The sequence below is a fragment of the Homo sapiens genome, chromosome 12 (assembly GCF_000001405.40).
Source record: "Homo sapiens chromosome 12, GRCh38.p14 Primary Assembly".
NCBI lineage: Eukaryota > Metazoa > Chordata > Mammalia > Primates > Hominidae > Homo > Homo sapiens.
The window spans coordinates 20546934-20567674 of record NC_000012.12 but is presented as its reverse complement, the minus strand read 5'-3'; the positions used below and the strand labels follow the sequence as shown (position 1 = coordinate 20567674).

Sequence of the window (20741 nt, the reverse complement as noted above, 5' to 3'; positions counted from 1 at the left end):
AGCCCAAAAGTTCCATGTGATAAGAGAAAAAAAGAAAAGAAAAAAGGGAGGAAGTGGGGGGGAGTAGTCACATGCCTAGAGAATGAGAACACATGTTCCTGTATGAAAAAGTCAATATTTAAATACTATCTTCTCCTTAAGTAATGACAACATGACAAATTATTCCTCATCCAGTAATTTCAGTTTACAGTCAAAGTAATAATATGCTGTCCTACAATAAGGTATCATGGACATTAAAAGTTGGGAATCTCAACTTAGCTGTACGCTTTCAAAACAGAAAAGCCTGAAAGCAGGGGAATAGCATAAATAAAACAAAAGGCTTCTTGGCTTTATTATTCATGCTTTAGATATAATTTCACTAATTCCTCAAGGGCTGCTATATTTTATTATGGATTAACAGATTTCCTCAAGACACACTGGTTCAGCAAAGCTTACTTGAATAAATGAAACTCTTAAGTAAGTTCATAAATTATAATGTTTTCATTTATTTTAGAAATATTAATTAAAAATTCACTATACACAAGGTTGCCATAATCACTATAAAACAAAACTGGCTGCTGCAAATTCACTATTTAGCAAAACTTGTTTGAAGTCATGCTGTATTTCTCCACGAAAAAGAAAACTAAATTGTCCTAGGATTACATTTCCTAAACTTATAGTTAATTGGAGTACTCTTTAAAAACTCATGCAAAGGCCTGAAAATGCAATAATTGTGCATATACTACCATATTTTTGAGGCACCAGAAGAGAAATGTCACCAAAGTTATGGCACTAAGTCACCGTACACCTGAATAGGGACAATGAGTGGTAAAAGTGGAGTTAAGACCTGTCGGTCACCCAAATCATCATTCATTCCCACTAACAAACAAACAAAAAAAAAATTCACTGCACGTTTCTAACTTCAACATGGCTTCAATGGCCATGTTCTTTTTGCTTCATGAGATGGTCTTTTCTATATTTTCCAATCATCATCTTTGATAGACAACTTCTTTCCTCTCCTCTGCTCCCAGTCCTTTGAGAACTAGAGCTTTTATATCTGTTTGCGCTACATCTTCCTGACTGATCATGATGTAGTTTATTTTTGTGATTTCTACTCCATCTGTTTGTCTCACCCACAATTTTCTGAGAGGTTTTTCCTCCTAAACTTAAAAAAAAAAATACCCTTTTAAGTGTGTATCGCTGATACTATGTAAACAACTTTCTCTAAATTCAGGGTTAAAATGATTTGAAAACAAAGAATATGATTACAAAATTCTAAAATGGAAATAGTTGTAGAGATCCAAGTGGAAATTGTCACCCAGAAGTATTTAAACACAACACCACAGAACTCAGCGAGCAAACTATTTTGATGCAAGTTTGATAACCTGCAGATTTCCAATAAGAATAAGCTTTAACTTGTAACACTTAAGAGTTTTCCAAGAATCGCTTATTACACAATGCATCACCACCAAAAAAGGAGAAAAAAAAACTCCGCCAAAAAGCAAAAACAAAGTTCTGTGATCTAGAAAATCAAATCTGACAAGAAGTTTCATTTTTGTGACTTTTAAGATAATTTTAGTTAATATCGCTAATATTATTCCAGGCTTTTTCTTTGTAGTTGTCAGCCCTGGTAACTTTGGGTTTACTGATGTTTACATGATGGCTGAATTTTACATAACGTGGGACAATCACTTAATGTTGACAACATAACTGCTAAACCACCTTTGTTCTCCCAAGGTAAAACTTTGTAAGAAAATCAGCACCTTTGATGAGAATATAAAATCTTGTGAGGAATGCTATTAAACAGTATTTTAGTTTGTTCCCTAGAGTGGCTGTAAAGAAAAATTCCTGTACCATAAATAAGATGTTAATGCTATTAGAAACACATATTTATACATATAGCCTGGATATGTGTTAATAAGAAATTAAAACATTCAATTTCCCCAAATAAAAAAAAATTGTACCAAGAATGTACTAAAAGCCTGTATCCTGTGTTTTTTTGGTAGTATATGAAAATGGATGTTAATATTCATCTTAAAAGATCAACATTTCCCGTTTTCTTTGCCTCAATTCACCCTCTCCAGTTAACTGTCCTTACTACTCCATATAACCTCCTCCACCCTATATCACCTTTACCTACCTCTATATCTGATTATTTGTTCTAGTTAATACATCCTAGTCTTAGATTTTAATCTTCTATGAGAAGCTGATTATTTTTGGCACAATCTTTTTTTATCAGTTTTATCTATAAGTGAAGTAAAAATCAAAAATCCACCCACAGAACTTCCCTTTTAGGGTATGTTGTCAGGATTAATAAAAAACAAGATCTTACTCAATGCTGCTGATGGTATAAAATCACCCAGCGTGAGATAAAAATTATTTCCCTTTGTCAGATATTGCAATTCAAAGATAAAATTAACTGTTATCAAGTTAGCATATTTTTCTCCTGTTATTCTCTCAAGTGGAAGGCAAAACTTGAGAGCTGGAAATTTTTCAGAATGTGTATATTTGCTTTACAAGAACGTACGTGCAAAATACTTGCATTAATTTTCTTAATGTGTACTATAAGCTATCTGGGGGAAAGAATATAAGAAAAGTCACAACTGCAACAGTGGTCAGAAACTGTGGCTTAAAGTAATAGGTATTATTTTTGTTTTTATTTCTCTCTCAAAATATGCTTTTGTACACTTAGTAAAATTAACTATTGCTTAAACTATCTGCAGTCCCTGCAGAGAAACATCTATTATCAGTGGTTGTTTATTTGATTGCTTTGTTTCGTTTCAAATAAAGTACCACAGGTTGTGATTTGGCTAAACACACACAAGGTAGTGCCCATGTCATGGAAATGATGTCCACAGGCCCCAACATAAGAGGGTCATTCAATAAGTATTAAACAACATGTCTACTAATCTATAAACATGGGGAAAACAATAAAAGCATAAATGCCAGTGGCAATTTTCCCTTTTATTTCTGTGGATTTGATTCCTGTTCATCAATGTTCTTTTAAGAGACCAGGGCCTGTAATAAAGAGTCACTTACTGAAGGTCATCCATCAGTTTCCCTGAAACAGAAGTTCCATGAAACTACTGTGAGGACAGAGCCAAACTCTCTTTCCTCCTGCGAATCACTTAAATGTGTAAGTGTGGGAAGAGTACATTCCCCCCTAACCTAGCCATTAGATTTCTTGGACATAATTCCACTCTGAGAAAACTACTTCACAATGAAATGAATATGTTCTTTAAAATTTCTATTCGATAGACTTAAAGATGAAACCTGAAAACCTGAAAGCATAAATGCTTGAAGAAACATGTTCTCATTTTCCTACATAAAGTGTCAAGATTAATCACTAAATATTTATTTACTATCTTCCATACACCTATCAATGAGATTATGCTGTAATTTCAGTGGTTTTCATCTAGAAGCAAATTTGATTCCCAGGGAACATTTGACAATGTCTAGAGACATTTTTCTTATCACAGTTTGGGGACTGAGGGTGTTGTTTCTGGCCTCTACTAGGTAGAGACCAGGGATGCTAGAGAACTAATATACTAGTGGGTTCAGTTGTTAAAGAGAAACACTGTTTTCCCTTCTCTGAGGACAGAGAGAAATGTCTCCCCATCCTCTTGACACTGTGTGTGCTGTGGACATTGTCAGCAATATCCCTACTATGATTGTCAGCAATATCCCTACTATGATAGATTTGCTAAAAACTGTGTCTTGCAGTTTGTCAATGCAAATTAAAGACATAATACTAAACAGTAACTAAATAAAAGCAATTTCAAAGAGTGGGGGAAGAGTAAAAAATAATTGTCCAATAGTGCAGAACTGACTAAAGGATAAAATTTTAAATATCTATAGGAAGACCTAATGGAGAAGATAGATATGATATTTAGGTCCCTTCCTGTCACTATTACATGCAATGACAAAGCCATCCCTACACTAAGTGAGGCCCTAGGCAAATATATTTTGTGTGGTCCCCGTTAGTATAAGCAAAATTTAAACAAATTTCTCAAAACAACAAGCAAACGAAAAACCCCAAAACCAAACTGTCTTTGGAGAGTTGCCAAAAGTTAAACAATTATTGGAAAAATTTCTGAACGAATATTGATAGTTGTTAGGTTGATATATGGAAAAATGAAAAAGGAGGAAGAAATGCAAGTGAAAGACACTATGTTTGTAGAAAAAGTAGCACTGGCAGCTAGCTCTAGGGCATAAATTATTCCCTGGTAACATGTCGGACATTTGAGAGACTAATAATGAGCTCCCAATCTGCTCACATTAATCCCTTGGAACAAATTCCTGGGAAATACGGCTGGTCATCTTTCCAAAATGTATTAAAAGGAATTAACTTCAATAAATATATATGGCATTACTCCAGATAAATATGAAAAGGCATTTAAATTTCTCTCCACATTCTCTTATCAAAAACAAATGATTTAACCTAGAAAAGAAGTGACCTGTCACTGCATCAGGCCATTAGTAGGCAAATGATTAGGTTAATCAACTTCAGTAGGTATTACAATCAGATCCATTCCCTTGAAATTACAGACAAAAAAGTAAAGCACAATGACTCCTCATCAAAATTCATCCTTGAGACTTAACATTATGCTATAAAGGCTCACTGATCTAGGTAGTTGCTTTTAGTCTAGAATTTTTACAATTTGTTGCCTCCAGGACTTGTTAAACCACTAAAGACCTGCTCCAAAATAGGCCATGGGTCATTTGTAAGCATACTGATGATAGTCTAGTGTGCATTTAATCACTTTTTTTCCATCGGAATACTCAGCTATCTTCCAGTATTTTACACACAATACTTGAATTATTTAGAATCATACAAACCAGAATTTTATTATCTAAAGAAAGACTTCAATCATTTGAAAACCAGATGGACAACACAAAAATTTGTTTCTTGTAAGTACTTTTAAGTCCAGCTAATACAGTCTGGCTGGTAGTCAAATACCAATAATATACTAAATAACTAAAAACTTGCTAGTTTTTCACTATTGGTAAATAAAGGCCTGAGGGTTCCAAGAATATTAAAGTGTTAGGATGTTTACAAATTCACAAATTGAACTAATCTTTTCCACAAGGAGCCTCCACTAAGTGATAAGTAAATTATTGGCCCCTTGGAATGTCCTCCTACTGTTTTTAAGCATTTAAAAAACAAAAAAAAAAAGCAGCTGGGCACGGTGGCTCACACCTGTAATCCCAGTACTTTGGGAGGCCGAGGCAGGCGGATCACGAGGTCAGGAGATCGAAATCATGCTGGCCAAAATGGTGAAACCCTGTCTCTATTAAAAACACAAAAATTAGCTGGGCGTGGTGGTGCACACCTGTGGTCCCAGCTCCTTGGGAGGCTGAAGCAGGAGAATCGCTGAACCAGGGAGGCAGAGGTTGCGGTGAGCTGAGATCGCACCACTGCACGCCAGCCTGGGCACGGAGCCGGACTCCGTCTCCAAAAAAAAAAAAAAAAAAAGCATATTTTCTGTTGCCTCTCTTTACTTCCCACTGGAAAACTTTTCCTTCAAGAATAAAAAATAAAAATGAAGAAAAAACAACAAGTAATTGCCTTCTGAGAATTTCATCCCCTGACTTCATTTGGTATTACTGGGAACACTGCCAGACAAAGGAGTTCTGCATGCTGCTGGAAGTTTATTTATCATTTAGCATCTTTCCTACATTTGGGTGATCTACTATTTGAGAGTTATATACTTTTAAAAAAAGAAAGAAGAAAAATCAGCCAGAAAGCTATGAGTGAGCTGACAAATTATGAAAGAGAATTACTGAGAATAAAGTAATATAAGTCAGCTTGAATGACATTCTTGCTGCGTCTAAAAAGTCATATGCAATTAAGGGTTGGAATTTGCTAGAAGAGAGATAGGTATTTTTCTATAGGACAAGTATTTGATATGAATGGTGCATCTTAAATTCTGTGATAATGCATATATGATACAATTTTGAAATACAAAGGGAAATTTGAGAAAATCACTTATTTATTAAGTATCCCGGGAGAAGCCAGGGGAAGCTTAACTCTATCCTAGCAATAATTAAGGTTGACTTTAAAAAAAAAATTAGATGCTGCTAGATGCCAACGTTTTGTCTATTTCTGATTCCTCAAAGGCTAAAAAAAAGTACCTGACATATATCCATGTTTTGCGAATCAAAGTAAAATATGTTAAAATTCATCTTGCAGGCTAGCACACTCACATCTGACACAGCTCTCTGCTTTGTACTGGGCAGGAATCAAGCAAGTTCCCTTTTTTAGATATCTAAAACAATATTTATTCCATATGTTTTCTAGCATTCAAGATTTTTCACTATTATATCCTCAATCCTACCAAGAAAACTGAAGTCAATCGGTTCATAATACCTTTTAATGTTATAATATCTGTTCTTATTTTTTCTTTTCTCTCTTTCTATTAGAAATATCTTTTTTTTTTAGCAGAGCCTCGCTCTTTCTCCCAGGCTGGAGTGCAGCGGCGCAATCTTGGCTCACTGCAGCCTCTGCCTCCGGGGCTCAAGCTATTCTGTCTCAGTCTTGCGAGTAGCTGAGACTACAGTCACATGCCATCACTCCTGGCTAATTTTTGTATCTTTAGTAGAAGTGGGGTTTCACCATCTTGGTCAGGCTGGTCTCAAACTCCTGACCTCAGGTGCCACCTGCCTCGGCCTCCCAAAGTGCCGGGATTACAAGCGTGAGCCACTGCCCCTGGCCTCTACTTTCTTTTCAAAGCTTACCCATCTGTACTTTTTGGTGGATTTATCCAGTATTTCATTTGCAAACAGGGCCAGTTTCTCTGATATAGTGTAAATGGCTGGTATGGGGTAGGGGTGGGGGTGGGTTTCCGGCGAGGAAAACACATAAAGAAGTGCCAAAAGGACCACTCTGGAAGAAAGCACATTCCCTTCCCTGAACCGCACCATTTCCTCAGTCCTGAATCAGCTCACTATTGAGAATTTTCAGTGTTTTCTTTTCCACACTAATTCTTTTCATCTGCCAGTAATTAAGACACACATCTCACCTTAGCATTAAAAATAAACAAATAAGTAAGTAAATAAATAAATCACTCTTGCTGCCACCTCTTTCTGCAATCCCAACTTTCTTTTAAAACAAAGCTCTTCCAAGAGACTCTTCTGGTATCTTACACTATTCTCTTCTATATTCTTCTTTCCACCACTTCTTTCTCAAAACTGTTTTTTGAAAGTTCACTAATGTCCTCCTAATCACTAAACCCAAAGACATCTGCTACATTTTTAATTTTCTTGAACCTTGGTCTGTGATTTCATTCCTCTCCTTGGTGTAACTACTTTTGGTTCTGAATCATTTCTCCTCCACCTGGTCTCTAGTAAGATCATGCACACTCATATTAACTCCCTCCTCAGCTTGTTTCTAGTCTTTATAGCATATTTTCCAAAAATCAGACTTTTATTCTGTTTTTTCTTTTAATATTTTTCTGGAAGCCTATCTACTGGAGGAGCTCAATTATCTCCTGTATGATTAGCATTCCCAAACTGACACCCTTTGTTCTAATCAGGCCTCGAGTATGTGCCTGAAACTTCATTTTGGAATTGTCACCTTCACTTGTCACTTAATATTGCCAACCCTGAAGTCATCATCTTTCATCTAAACTGTTCTGTGTTAATGGTCCTAATTCTTAGAGTACTCAGTTTCAAACTCTTGACCCTCTTAACTTCCTCTGCCTATCTAGTCAATAAAGTATAGCATTCTCCAGATTATCCCTTCACAGTAATTGCTGTAAGAGTTGCCATCCAAAAGCATTTATACAGAAGTTATAAAAAAATTCACATATATTCAAAGGTGTCCCACACTCTTCTCAGTTCAGACTTTTACCAAAGCTTTTTCATCCACCTTTTCCTCTGTACTTTCGAAAGCTTACCCATCCTTAAAGCCACACCTCAGACATCATCACTTCTCAGAGGTATTTCCTAGTCTACTAGGGAGTAAGAAATACTCTTCCACCTAAATCCTATCTCACTTTGTATATATGCAGTCTTTTTTTTTTTGATATGGGGTCTCGTTCTGTTGCCCAGGCTGGAGTGCAGTGGCATGATCTTGGCTCACTGCAACCTCCGCCTCCAGGGTTCAAGAGATTCTCCTGTCTCAACCTCCCGAGTATCTGGGATTACAGAACCCACCATCATGCCTGGCTTATTATTATTACTATTATTATTATTATTATTATCATTATTTGTATTTTTAGTGGAGACGGGGTTTCACCATGTTGGACAGGCTGGTCTCAAACTCCTGACCTCTGGTGATCTGCCTGCCTCGGCCTCCCAATATATATATATAGTCTTATTACACTTTGTATATATGTCACTTAATGATGGGGATTTTGTTGTGGGAACATCATAGAGTATACTTACACAAACCAGATGGTATAGCCTATTATACACCTAGGCTATATGCTGTAGCCTATTGTTACTAGGCTACAAATCTGTGCAGCATGTCACTGTACTGAAAAATGTAGGCAATTGTAACAAATGGTATTTGTGTATCTAAACATAGAAAAGGCATACTGAAAACATGGTATTATAATTTTATGTGACCACCATCATATATACTGTCATTCACAGATATGTCATCATGCACCACATACTGTATGTAATGTTGCGTCTATCAGATTGCCTTATATGTGAATTATATATACAAATATTGCTGTATTTCCAACCATAATTTGTGAGCTCTTGGAAAGCAGTATACTTGTCTTTTCAGTTGTCTTCAGTTAGACCCACCACAGTGCTGTAAACATAGGAAGTGCTTAGAAACCAGTTCTAAATTAACTAAGATGGGACTTGAGCAAGGCTTTGGAGTAAACTATTAAGAGGTCTGTGTTCAAGTGCAACTTGTCTGAAGTTCCCCTTGAAAAGCTGGAAGGCTTTAGACATATTGACCAAGGAGATAATAGCAATAAAAGAAGGGATCAATTATCCAAAACATGAAAACATTATTGTTATTATTATTATTATTATTATTATTATTTCGTCAGCAGGGAATTGAAATCAGATAAGAGGTTATTACTTAAGACTTAATTTATCTACCTGAAATTTCCAAATTCTTTGGAAATTCTCTTTCTTTTTAATGTTTTTTGCTATGGTTCTTATTGTTCTTATCTTTTGGTGTGTTGTGTTTGTTTTTTACTTTGACAGTTTTCATCTGAGTTGAGGAATCAAAATGGGACAAAGGTATACTATATTTAGAATAGCTATTTTGCTGGTTAAGAGATCCAAAAAAGACTTGATGTTGATAATGGTAATTCATGCAAGCCGATTTTAATGCTTTTGCTTTTTAGAACCACCTCAGGCTTTCAAATATAATCAAATTTTATTTATGAAAATAGCTTTTGTTTATATGTGGAATTCTCACATTTTCTAGCTATATGCAATATTTGGAATTTTAAAAATTTTGTCCTTTTTATACTGAAAGTTAACAAAAACCATACTGTACAATTGTGAGGTTTTTTTTTTTTGTCAATTTATATTGACATAGTGACCAATCTAAACCTGAAGATAAATTATACCAAAGTAAGCAAAATAGAGAGTAAATGATGTATATCTTAAACAATAATTTTCTATATATAACACTACCTTGCTTTGAAGAGACATGTCCTCAACAACTTGCTTGGCATGTTTTGAATATCAAAATGTTTTGGTGGCAATCATCAGAAACCATGGACCTTCTTATTTGCACTTATCTTTACATTTTTACTGGTTTCGAATCATGAAGAATTTACTCTATGTTAATTTAATCCCTTCATTACTGACCTTGCAGCAAATTTTGATTTAAAATTTTATAGATGTGTACAGAGGAAGAGTTTTCAGAGAAAATGAAGGGGAGATAAAAATGAGGGAAATAAAGTAAGGCATAAATTCTTTTAGATGATCCTAATTTAATTGGTTTACATTATTTACTAATCAAATTGATACTGGACAGAAATAAAATCAGTCATTAAAATGTGAACTAAAACAATTGATTGACTTGGTTTTGTTTTCCTAGTGACCGGAATTAAGTAGAGTTATTCACACAAGTTTAATGACAACACAAGAACAAATCAGCTTTGTAAACACTTGGGAGAAGCCCCCACTTTCCAATGAACTTTCATTTACAGTATTGCACATTCAACTGCCCTTTGTAATTTATATATTTTTTAGTAGCAAATGCAAAATGTGTGCAATAGAAGCAAAAATTTCCACCCACTTAATTTTTATTTTGCATGTTTACAGTCAGGTAACCATAGCCTGCCATGAGAGAAATTATTTTTACATTTCTTCACAAAGTGCTCTAGGAGGAGAAATAATTTTCTCAGTGTAAAGCTCAGCCTTTATTCCATCAGGGAAAGTAATTATGAAAGCAAAACAAATCCACATTGTCTAATTAGGTCATTAAAAAGCATAAATGCGTCATGGAAGCTTTTCTCTTTGCCTAAGACATAAAGCAAGACAATGAAAACACTCTGGTAATATAGAAAGACTTAGAATTTGTTTCTTTTCAAAAATAATAGGTCCTTTCATCTTTCTGTTTCCCTCAGATGAAGAGAGTTAATTTAGAGACAAAATCTTGTAATTAGTTCAGAGTTTAGTCTGATTATATTTCAAAATATTTAACCAAAAACAGGAAGCTGAAGAAAAAAGAAAATACACGGAAAAATTGTCAAAGGAAATGAATAAAGAGAGTGGGTTGCTGATCAAAATGTATTCTGCCGAGACAAGATGAATATAAAATCTATATTCATATAAACACAACCAATCTGGGATACCAGAAAGCTCTTAGAAGGAATATCCTGGCATCTGCCTTTGGGATTTGAAATCCAGACTTTAATTATAGTTAACTTAAATAAAAACAAATGGCATGGTTATTTTGCCTCTTCCTCGCTCCACATTTTATTATCTCTTGAGTTTTAGAAAACCCGTGGCTGAAAGTGTTACGAAACGAAACGTGAAAAAGAAAAGGAAAAGAAACTTACCTGTGATCCTCTTGGCCCTCGTTTGTGGTCCCATTCTGAATGCCCCATGAGCTGGAAAGATGAAAATTATAATAAGTTAAATGATTATTTTACCTGACAAACATTTTTCTTCTTTATTTTAAAGAATAATCAGGTTGTTCCAATCTTTATTAGTAATATATTAAATAGCTATCATGAATAAATTAACATACCTAAATTAGTAGCAAACTCCTGGTTTGATAGCTAATATTTCAACTTCTAATCATTTTGAGAGTATTTTAATATCACTGTGTGATAAAAGAAGCTACTGTGTAGCTCTGTCAGGAACATCCTAGATAGATGTTAAACCATGTAAAGCTTTATTTGCATATTATTAAGCCTTTAGCTTTTTAAGAAAATATTCTGGGTAAATGACTACTGCAGTTAAATCTACTGCCGCAAATGATAAGAACCAGAAGGCCAAATCAGTTCAATAATTTTTAATCCTCCTTCAAAACTATAAAAATCTTGAGAGTTCTAAAGAGTAAAATTATTAAATATTTAATATGAAATATGCCCACATAGTCACAAAACGTAGATTTTTAATAATAACCTATAAAATATCATCACGTTATTCCTATGGTGGTAATAGCCCTGAGCTACCTTGCTTACAAAGAAGAATATTTACTTATTGAAAATAACATTTAACATTAAGAATATTAAGGAAATAAAAGATATTGACTCAGAGAAATGAAACTCCATTCATCTGTCAGTAATCTTATTAGTCATCAGTACCAGCTGAAGAAGTATTTACAGCTAATAAGCTAGCACACCAATAAGATGGACTATAAATGAATTTATGTACGTTATTAGCTTTTCTGTATAGCAGCAATGACTCCTAAGTAGACTTAACAACAAACAACTGTTCACAATAGCAACAAAAATAATATGCCTTTGAATATTATCAAGAAATGTTTGATAACCATATACAGAAAATGGTAAAAGTTTACTGAAGACATACAGTGCTACTGGTAAAGAAGACTTAATTCTATAAACTATTGAGTGCTCAATTCTACTCAAACAAATTTAACTAGATTTCAGGTTTAACTAGATTTCAATCAAAAGCTAACAGTATTTTTAATTTTGAAAGAATATAAATTTCATTGGAGAGTATAAACATATATAATCAGTTATGTCAGATGAATAAGTGTAGCGATACAACGCAGAATATGAGAACTATACCTCATGATGTTATACAGTGTGCTGAAGTTTGCTAAGAGGGTAGATTTTCGGTGATTTCACCAAACACAAAGTTAAAACTATGAGAGACGATCGATGTTAATTTACTTGACCTTAGTAATTACTTTACATTGTAAATATACATCAAAATATTATGTTGTACACCTCAAGTATATACAATAAAAAAGAATCCATTAGAGGCCGGGGCGCAGTGGCTTATGCCTGTAATCCTAGTATTTAGGGAAGCCAAGGCGGGCGGATTTCCTGTGGTGAGGAGTTCGAGACCAGACGGGTCAACCCTGTCTCTACTAAAAGTACAAAAATTAGCCAGGCGTGGTAGTGTGCACCTGTAGCCCCAGCTACTTGGGAGGTTGAGGCGGGGGAATTGCTTGAACCTGGGAGGCAGAGGTTGCAGTGACCCAAGATCGCACGCCACTGCACTCCAGCCTGGGAGACAAAGTGAGACTCCATCTCAAAAGAAAGGAATCCATTAGAAAATGTTACAAGTGATGAAAATACCTTTCTGGTTATTAAGATATATTATAAAACTTAACCAAATTTGGGGATAATGGTTTAGCATTAAAAATGCAAATGAATGAAATAATTTGGAATAAATATACGTATGTGTGCTAACAAAATATAAGCAAGAAAACATCAAAAATATTTTGTATTTGATGAATTATTCAACTAATGAAAAAAAGGAGTTCATGACCAGCCTGGCCAACATGGTGAAACCCCTTCTCTACTAAAAATACAAAAATTAGGTGGGCGTGGTGGGGCACGCCTATAATCCCAGCTACTTGGGAGGTTGAGGCAGGAGAATCGCTTGAACCTGAAAGGCCAAGATTGCAGTGAGCTGAGATCGCGCTGCTGCACTCCAGCCTGAATGACAGAGTGACACCCTGTCTCACAAAAAAAGAAAAAAAAAAGAAAGAAAAAGAAAAATAGACTTTTGAGGGTAAAAAATAATTAAAGCCTAACCTTATAATAAATGGTAATATTAATTATAGATTTAAAAGACAAATTTTTAAAAAGACAAAACTGTAAATATAAAATAGAATAAAATCCAGGTAAATACTCAACCTATCTTGGGAAATAAAAAAAAAATTAAATAAATCTAAATCTTTTTTTATTTTTTTTATTTTTTTTTTTTTATCTGTGAAAAACATTTATTCTGAGAATCTAAAATCTGGACAAAGTACTGGACTTTAGAAAAAGCCTACACAAAATTGTCTCATTCTTCCCTAATACATTAATAATCTAAGAATAAGGAGGTGAAAAAAAACCCTTTAAAAATAACATTGCTCCAGTTTGTCTGCAGGTATGTGATTTAAAATATCCCTGTTTTATTGAGGTATAGGCTGCAAACTTTGGTAAAATTAGAAAAATTAACAAACCCTTTCAAAAAAAAAATACAAAAACAAAAACAACCAAACCCTAACGTTATATCTTTCTTGGTACATATACAGTAACTACAAAAAAATTCATTTAGAAAATGTGTTCATTAAGAGAAAAAAAAATTAAAAAAAAAACCCTCTTGTAAGTTCTCACTTGCTGAGTTAAAAAAATTGAATGTAAATGATCTATAAGGCTCAAACGGTTCCCAAGCACCCATCCGGTGTCAGGAAGAACTGGATGACCGCAGTTTCTAGAATCTGGTTGACATTTTCAATAATTCAGTGCTAACAACAAAGACTGTCGTCTTTAGAAAGAAGGAACGAATCAAAGGCACTTGCACGTGACTTCATGTGCTGGCGTCCGTCCGTGGCCGCCTTCGTCGGACAGCGTCAGCCACACGCCTGGCCCCACGTGGAGCGGAGTCCCCTTGAGGCCATTTCTGCGTGGCCCCAACTCCCTGCTCTCGTGGGCAGAGGACTTTTCACGCGGATCTCAGACGCTAAGCAGTCTGGTGGGGGATGGCTTTGAGGCAAAGGTTTGAACTAGGCCCGAGATGTTTCCTCTTTTCCTTGCAACAACTTCAACAGACAGCTGAGCCACGCCATGCCACGGGCTGCCACGGGCCACCACGGGGAACCATGTCACTGGACTTTAGATGACAAAATGCTGTCAGGAAGATGCTTGCTCTGACCTTGGGGGCCAGAACCCGAGAGAAGGACTGATCCTGTCGCCTTCTTAAAGAGTTGGTGGCAGCAACTTCTGAGAACTTGACACCAGAAACATCAACAGCCTCCACACCACGTAGTTTCTGATTCCATCTTTAAAAAATCTTGTGTTGTTTTGTCGAGAAATTGCAGGCTTTTATGTTTTCAAAGAACTAAACACAATACTGAGAAGTCCAACTTTTAGCCAGAATACATAAATTCCTGAAAATGTATAGATTTGAAAAATAAAAATAAAAAAAAAAAAAGGAAGACAAACCTTTTTAGGGAACGGAGGAAACACTACCTGTTTAAGTTAAGCCCACTAAGAACAAAATCAGTGCCGATGAACGAGCCCTCCGACACGTTTTCAGCAAAACGCCTGTCGAGAAGTGCTTGGAGATCACCGGCCATTGCCGTAGCCGGGGAAGAGCTGGTTGAGGACGGTCTGCAGAGGCTGGTTCACCTGCATGGCATAGCTGCGGCCCAGGTCGTAGCGGCAGGCAGGGCAGCTGAACACCTGTGCCCGAAAGGATCTGTCCAGGCAGTCCTTGCACACGTTGTGCTGGCACACGGTCGTGATGGGCCGGAACACCAGCTCCTGACAGCAGATACACTGGAACGTCTCCTCCACTTTACTCAGGAACAACTGGAACGGGCTGCCGCTCGCCGGCCGGTCCTTGAGTGACGCCAGGACCTCATTCCACAGCTTGGCGTTGCTCTTGTCCTCTCTGATGAGGCTGCTCTGCTGGGCCGTGAGACTGTAGGGCTCCACCTTGGTTTTCTTGGATGTCCGGCGCGGGGACCCGGCCCTGCTCGGGCCACCTCCTGCCGACTTCCGCTTCCACTTGCCCTTGCCCGTCCTGGGGGACGCGAAGCCCCCCTCCTGCTGCTCCTCCTCCTCCCTCTTGCTGTTCTCCTTCTCTCGCTCTCGGTTGGCCAGGGCTTCCAGGTAGCCTTCTGGATACTGCATGGTCAGCCCCAGCTTCTTGATCCGGTCCTTCCCCTCCTTCGTCCAAGGGCCGGGCTCATCATCGTCCCTCCGCAGAAGGTAGCGCCACACGAGAAACCCGGACTTCCCCTTCTCGGGCCAGTATTTCACAACCTTGTAGATGCCATCGTAGCGGTTGCCCTCAGCGGGGGCGTACTTGCTATTCTTGCCACCCTTGACATTGCGCACCACCCTGACCGGCTTCCCCGACCGCCAGTCCTTGGCCTCGGCCCCTTCTTGGTCATTGATGGGAGCAAAGCAGTTGAGAGCCAGCGCCCTGTTGGTGTTGGTGAGTTTCTGATCACAAGACTGTTCCGCGGTCCTCTTGTTGCCGGAAAGCTCTCGACCACCACTACCCGTGTATGTGAAAAAATTCCCATGGTCCACGTCATCCTCGTAGCCCCCCGCCAGGACTAGGGAGTACGCTCCGTCGTTGCTCCGGCCATGGATGCCAGCCACGTGGGGCCGATGGACACCCGACTCGCTGACCTGGACTCGGAACCGCCACATGGTGCCCACGGGGATCCCCGGGATGGGTCCGTAGTGGTTGGACGGGATGATGGTACATTCCTTGGTGCGGCCCACACAGGCCATGCCCTTGTCCCAGTCCCGCTGTGAGGACGATGTGGCCGAGGCCATCTTCGCCTTCTTCTTGCTCTCTCTCAGCCGCTCTCCCGCCAGTACCACCTCGCTGGCATCATTCCGGCACTCAGGGCAGTACCACTCGTCCTCGCTGGGAACACTGCTGAGGGGCGGGTCCAGGCAGTAGATGTGGAAGGCCATGTCGCACTCATCGCACATGAGCTGCTTGTCGGGGTCCTGCCGGCCCCCGCACAGGTGGCAGGCGCAGACCCGCTCGGGGGTCGCGTAACTAGTTAGCATGCCAGAGTCTCGTTCGTTATCGGAATTAACCAGACAAATCGCTCCACCAACTAAGAACGGCCATGCACCACCACCCACGGAATCGAGAAAGAGCTATCAATCTGTCAATCCTGTCCGTAAATCTTTTTTTAAAGACTTTTTTTTTTTATTACAAAAGAGGACAAATTGATCTGGCTATATAAAACTTTAGAGTATTTGCACAAATGTCACATTGGTAAAATATCTGTAGTAAACTTAGGTAAAGAATAATATCTTCAAGATATCAAGGGTTCTTACAAATTTGAAAGAATCCCAACCCTAGTAAAAAACTGAGGGAAGAGTGAGAACAACTTACAAAATAAATAGATCTATGGAAAGACATTTAACTTTATTGGAAGTAAAAGAAATTCAATATAAACAATGACAAGATACTACTATTGCCTATTATATTTGCAAATTAATAATGTTGAATATTTGGAAAACAGGGAGTAAACTAAGCATATATATTGCTACTATATAACAAATATATATTTATACACATTGTATATATATATTTACACACATATAAAATATATATAATACATATATTATTAAAAATTCATACCCTTTGAACCAGTAAACTAAGATCTAAAAATCCAGTAACTATAATGTGCTACTAATTGTTTATCCAACAAAAGGGAAATTACTCAATAGATTACGGTATACAAAATGATACCATAGAGCAATTAAAATTTGGCTTCCAAGGCCTTTATAAAAAAGAACATGTGAAATGTTCACAGTATAATAGGTAAAAAACATAACAAAGTAATTTAATGAATTTTAAGCTACTCATTTTTAACAGACATAGTCAATTGTTTTAAGCCTTGGAATTATCATGATGATTTAATTGTAGTTTGGCTAGCACACAATTTTGGGTACACTGACCCAGATAATCATTATATAAAATTGAATGCTTACATAGTAGATATTTCTTTAATGCTTTAATTTTTTAATTTATGGATTTACTGGCATTATATCATCTCAAAAATATTTATTGATACTAAAGATGATTATAATATGGTTCACAAGCAATAATTAACTAATGAAATAAGTAGTATGATTTAGAAACATTAGTTGTTCACTAGAACTATCAAAAACAATTCTTGACACATTTCAAACATTGACAATACCTTACATTAAAATAGGAAGATGAGCTCATTATTTTTGGCAACTTTAAAGTGGCAATAAATTGAGCAATAGGCTTCTAGTGAAATGATTTATCAAAATCTTCTGGAAGATTTACAAAATGCTGACTATTAACACTGTTATCCTCCTTGCTAATGAGTTTAAACTAACAGGATCAAAATAAGGTGGTAAATTCTCCTATCACAACTAAAAGAGGTAAATAAATCTTACAAACACAAGTTATAATCCACAATATATTGATTTAAGAGAGAATATTTCATGATGACAGTAAGTCAAAAAGGAAACATTTTTGTAGGACCAGAATTAAAATGAGGAAAGCATGTAATTCACTGCCTTCTGCCATTAATTATCTTAACGATGACGATTTTAGTCAAAGAACAAAAACACTCAAAATGTAGACTAATTTGGGTCATCATTTACTCCAGAAGATAAGATCAATTTGGTAATTTGCAAATCAGAGCTTGTAAGATGCATTTCAAAAAATTCACTATCTAAATTTGACTTTTTCTTTTAAAGCATAAAACAGTAAAATTTGCCAAGTGTGTTATGTATCAGAGAGTTATTTCCTAGCATTATATAACAAACTGAGAAATATGCAGGGCAAAGAAATTCTTTTCCATTCTTATTTATATATTAATATCATCTTTATATTATATTTGAAAGGTATGAGCTGACCAAGAATGTGGTAGTATTTTAAAATGTACACTATGGCTACTTTTTTCAAAGTAATAAAAAATGTTACAGAAATCTACATCCTATGTGAAATATATTCAAAAAGAATGAACTCTGCATATGACAAATGAGATACTGTAATGTTCTACAGTCAATAAGAGCACCAAAGGAAGTAAACAGGATATTTCTCCTTTTGGATTTGAAGAATACAAAGTGTTTATCATTAAACTTCCATTTCTAATTAAAATAATCTGAGCCAAAATTTAGCATTTATTATTTCAGTGTATTTTCTTTTTTTTTTTTTTAATGCAAAGAAAGAGGCAATGATGGGGGTAGGGACTGCATAGTGTCAGAGCTTTATTCCTTCCCACGATTACAGCATTCTGGCCACTAGATGGGGCATGGGGTGGAGAGTGGGAGATGTAAGGATAAACTTCATATTAGCGCATGACAGCATATGAATTTTTATCCTATTTGTATAAAAAATATTTTACTGTCATAAAAACATAGTTCTCAGATAAAGGATGAAAGACTACAATAAGCAGCATATTGTCAGAATCCATTAAAAAAAACTACTCATAGTGTGATAAACTGACTTAATATTACAGATTATTTAAAATAAAATGAGGCATTTAGCTACTGGTAAGTACTCCTATTAAACAGAACCATAGGGATAAATGTTTCACAAAGACATCTCCCTAGCCCTTTCTTGATGTGTGATTACAACAAATAAAAAAAAATGGTTATTCACAATAAATAGTAAAGAAGACAGCTTGCACATTGAGGTCAATGAATTTCAGAATTAAGTGCAAAATGATGTTGATATTATTTCAAAGAGAAAGTCAAAACATCCTTTCAATTAAACAGATAAGATTAGTGTTAAGTTGCAGATGACCAAAGTAATCATTTGACATTATCATAGTAGCAGATAAAAGACGTTAATGGGCCACAGACAATGAGGAAAAGAAATAGAAACTGTGGAATTTTCCTTTTTGCAAAATAATTCATTTTGACTAAACTTTCAAGAGAAATGAATAGCAGCATGCTACTTAAGCAATTCTGGGAAAAGAGAAACTTTATTAAGATGATATGATACTCTTTTTGGAGAAGGAATGCTAATGATTTTAAGATTAGTTACATAAAGTTGCTAGAAACATAAAACAGAGAGGGAGAGATTGAGACTGGAAAAATAAATAAAAGTAAGTTTAAATATATTCTAGTTGATAAGAGTACATAACTACTTAATTCAGGGAGAAAAAAAATGTTTGTCTCTCACCATCTATAAAAAATACCCTCTGGCTAGTTTATGATTACTCCTCTGGGTAATGACATTTTAATAAGCATCTTACCAGAAGGTCTGGGGATATATAGGTCACCAAGGTTATGCCTGCAAATGGCAAATAAAATCTTTCCGTCTGATGAAGAAATTCTCTAAAAAAAATTTTTTTTAAAAGAGAATGTTTCTTCTCTTCTCAGTTCTCATTAACCAAGATAGGCACAATGAAGACCCTTAAATTTATTCCTGGCAAACAAAGTAAACTTCCTTGAAAAGAAACACAATCTGTTATAGAAAGCATTTTGAAAATCCTAACTGCTTTGACACTAAGTCATTTTGATCCTTATGGAATAAATTCTTCTCTCCGTCTTTTATTTTTAATAATAAATTTCTACATCACAGCCTTCAGCTAACAGTATGTTACACAGTACTTAGCTCCAAGGAAAACAAAACTGCTGCCAAACACAGAATTTAAAAAGTTCACAGGAGAAGCAAAGAAGAAGTCAGCATGGAAACAAAAAGGTTCTATCCAAGCAGAGATATTTTTAACAATAGCATGAGAAATAGATTGCTGAAAATATATTTCTGTAGGTAAAATATTTTGCTTTCATGTTTATATGTTTTTCTCCTGTTGTTTGTTTACGTAAAAATGAACGCCTTTTTAGGGGCTTCTCGGGAGAAAAAATTCACCACAACTATTACTAAAGGGATGAAAGCTGAAGGAGGACTGTAACTAGATGGGAAATAAAAAATTATTATTTGTGTGTACCTTAAAGAGGTGAGAAGTTTTAGATATGAAAAAAAGAGGATAACGATGGAAAGTAATAGTCACCACAGTTATCTTTGCACTACTCTCAAGAAAACTATTCTTTTACAGCAGCTGAAGATGGCTAAAACATATTTCTGAAGACATATAAAACTAATATACATATAAGGATGTAAAGGTTACCACACAGTCCACTTTCTATTTCATCATGTACTCATTAAGTAAATATGTATTGTATGCATATTATGTGCAAAGCACTGTTCTAGGCACAAACTGTATGCCATTGAACAAAACAAGATGTATCTCTGCCTCCTGGCTATTATATTTTAGTGAAGGAAGAAGATAAACACAGAAACATAGTATACCAGGTGATGATAAAGCTATAAAGAAGCTTAGAATAGAATAAACGAAGGGAGAACAAGTGGGGGTAATGGATGGTAGGGGCTGGAAGCAGAGGTAAGTTTATATAAGTACAGTAGATCGAAAAAGTCCTTTCTGAAAAAAGTGACATTTTATCAGATAATTGTATAAAGAGCCAGACACACAAACCTGGGGGAAATGCATGCCAGACAGAGGAAATAGAAGATGTAAAGGCTCTGAGGCGGGAGCAGGAATGGTACCTTAGGAGCAGCAAAGCATCTCTATGTTAAATTTAAAAAGGGATTGGATCTTTGTGATCATAGCTATATATTTGGTATTTACTATTTTCCTTTAGTATAAAATTGGTCTA

The 20741-nt window shown here is 36.1% G+C and overlaps 1 protein-coding gene and 1 pseudogene across 3 annotated transcripts in view, besides 1 other annotated feature; both read right to left on the bottom strand.

Annotated features, from left to right (window-relative positions):
- Positions 1-20741, bottom strand: part of PDE3A (phosphodiesterase 3A) — a 320047-nt gene that overhangs the window by 120909 nt on the left and 178397 nt on the right. For all 3 annotated transcript variants that reach the window (NM_001378408.1, NM_000921.5, NM_001378407.1), the window contains one exon: positions 10965-11015. In NM_001378408.1, coding sequence (NP_001365337.1) covers positions 10965-11012 — 48 coding nt within the window. In that variant the 5' untranslated portion in view covers positions 11013-11015. The remainder of the gene's footprint in view (positions 1-10964; positions 11016-20741) is intronic.
- On the bottom strand, positions 13315-16106 carry LOC728688 (ubiquitin like with PHD and ring finger domains 1 pseudogene; annotated as a pseudogene).
- Positions 16046-16340: a silencer, noted in NCBI's record as "tiled region #11298; K562 Repressive DNase unmatched - State 11:FaireW". NCBI's record gives its function as "represses a minimal TATA promoter and a strong SV40 promoter by Sharpr-MPRA in K562 cells {active_cell/tissue: K562}" and the evidence as "EXISTENCE:reporter gene assay evidence [ECO:0000049][PMID:27701403]".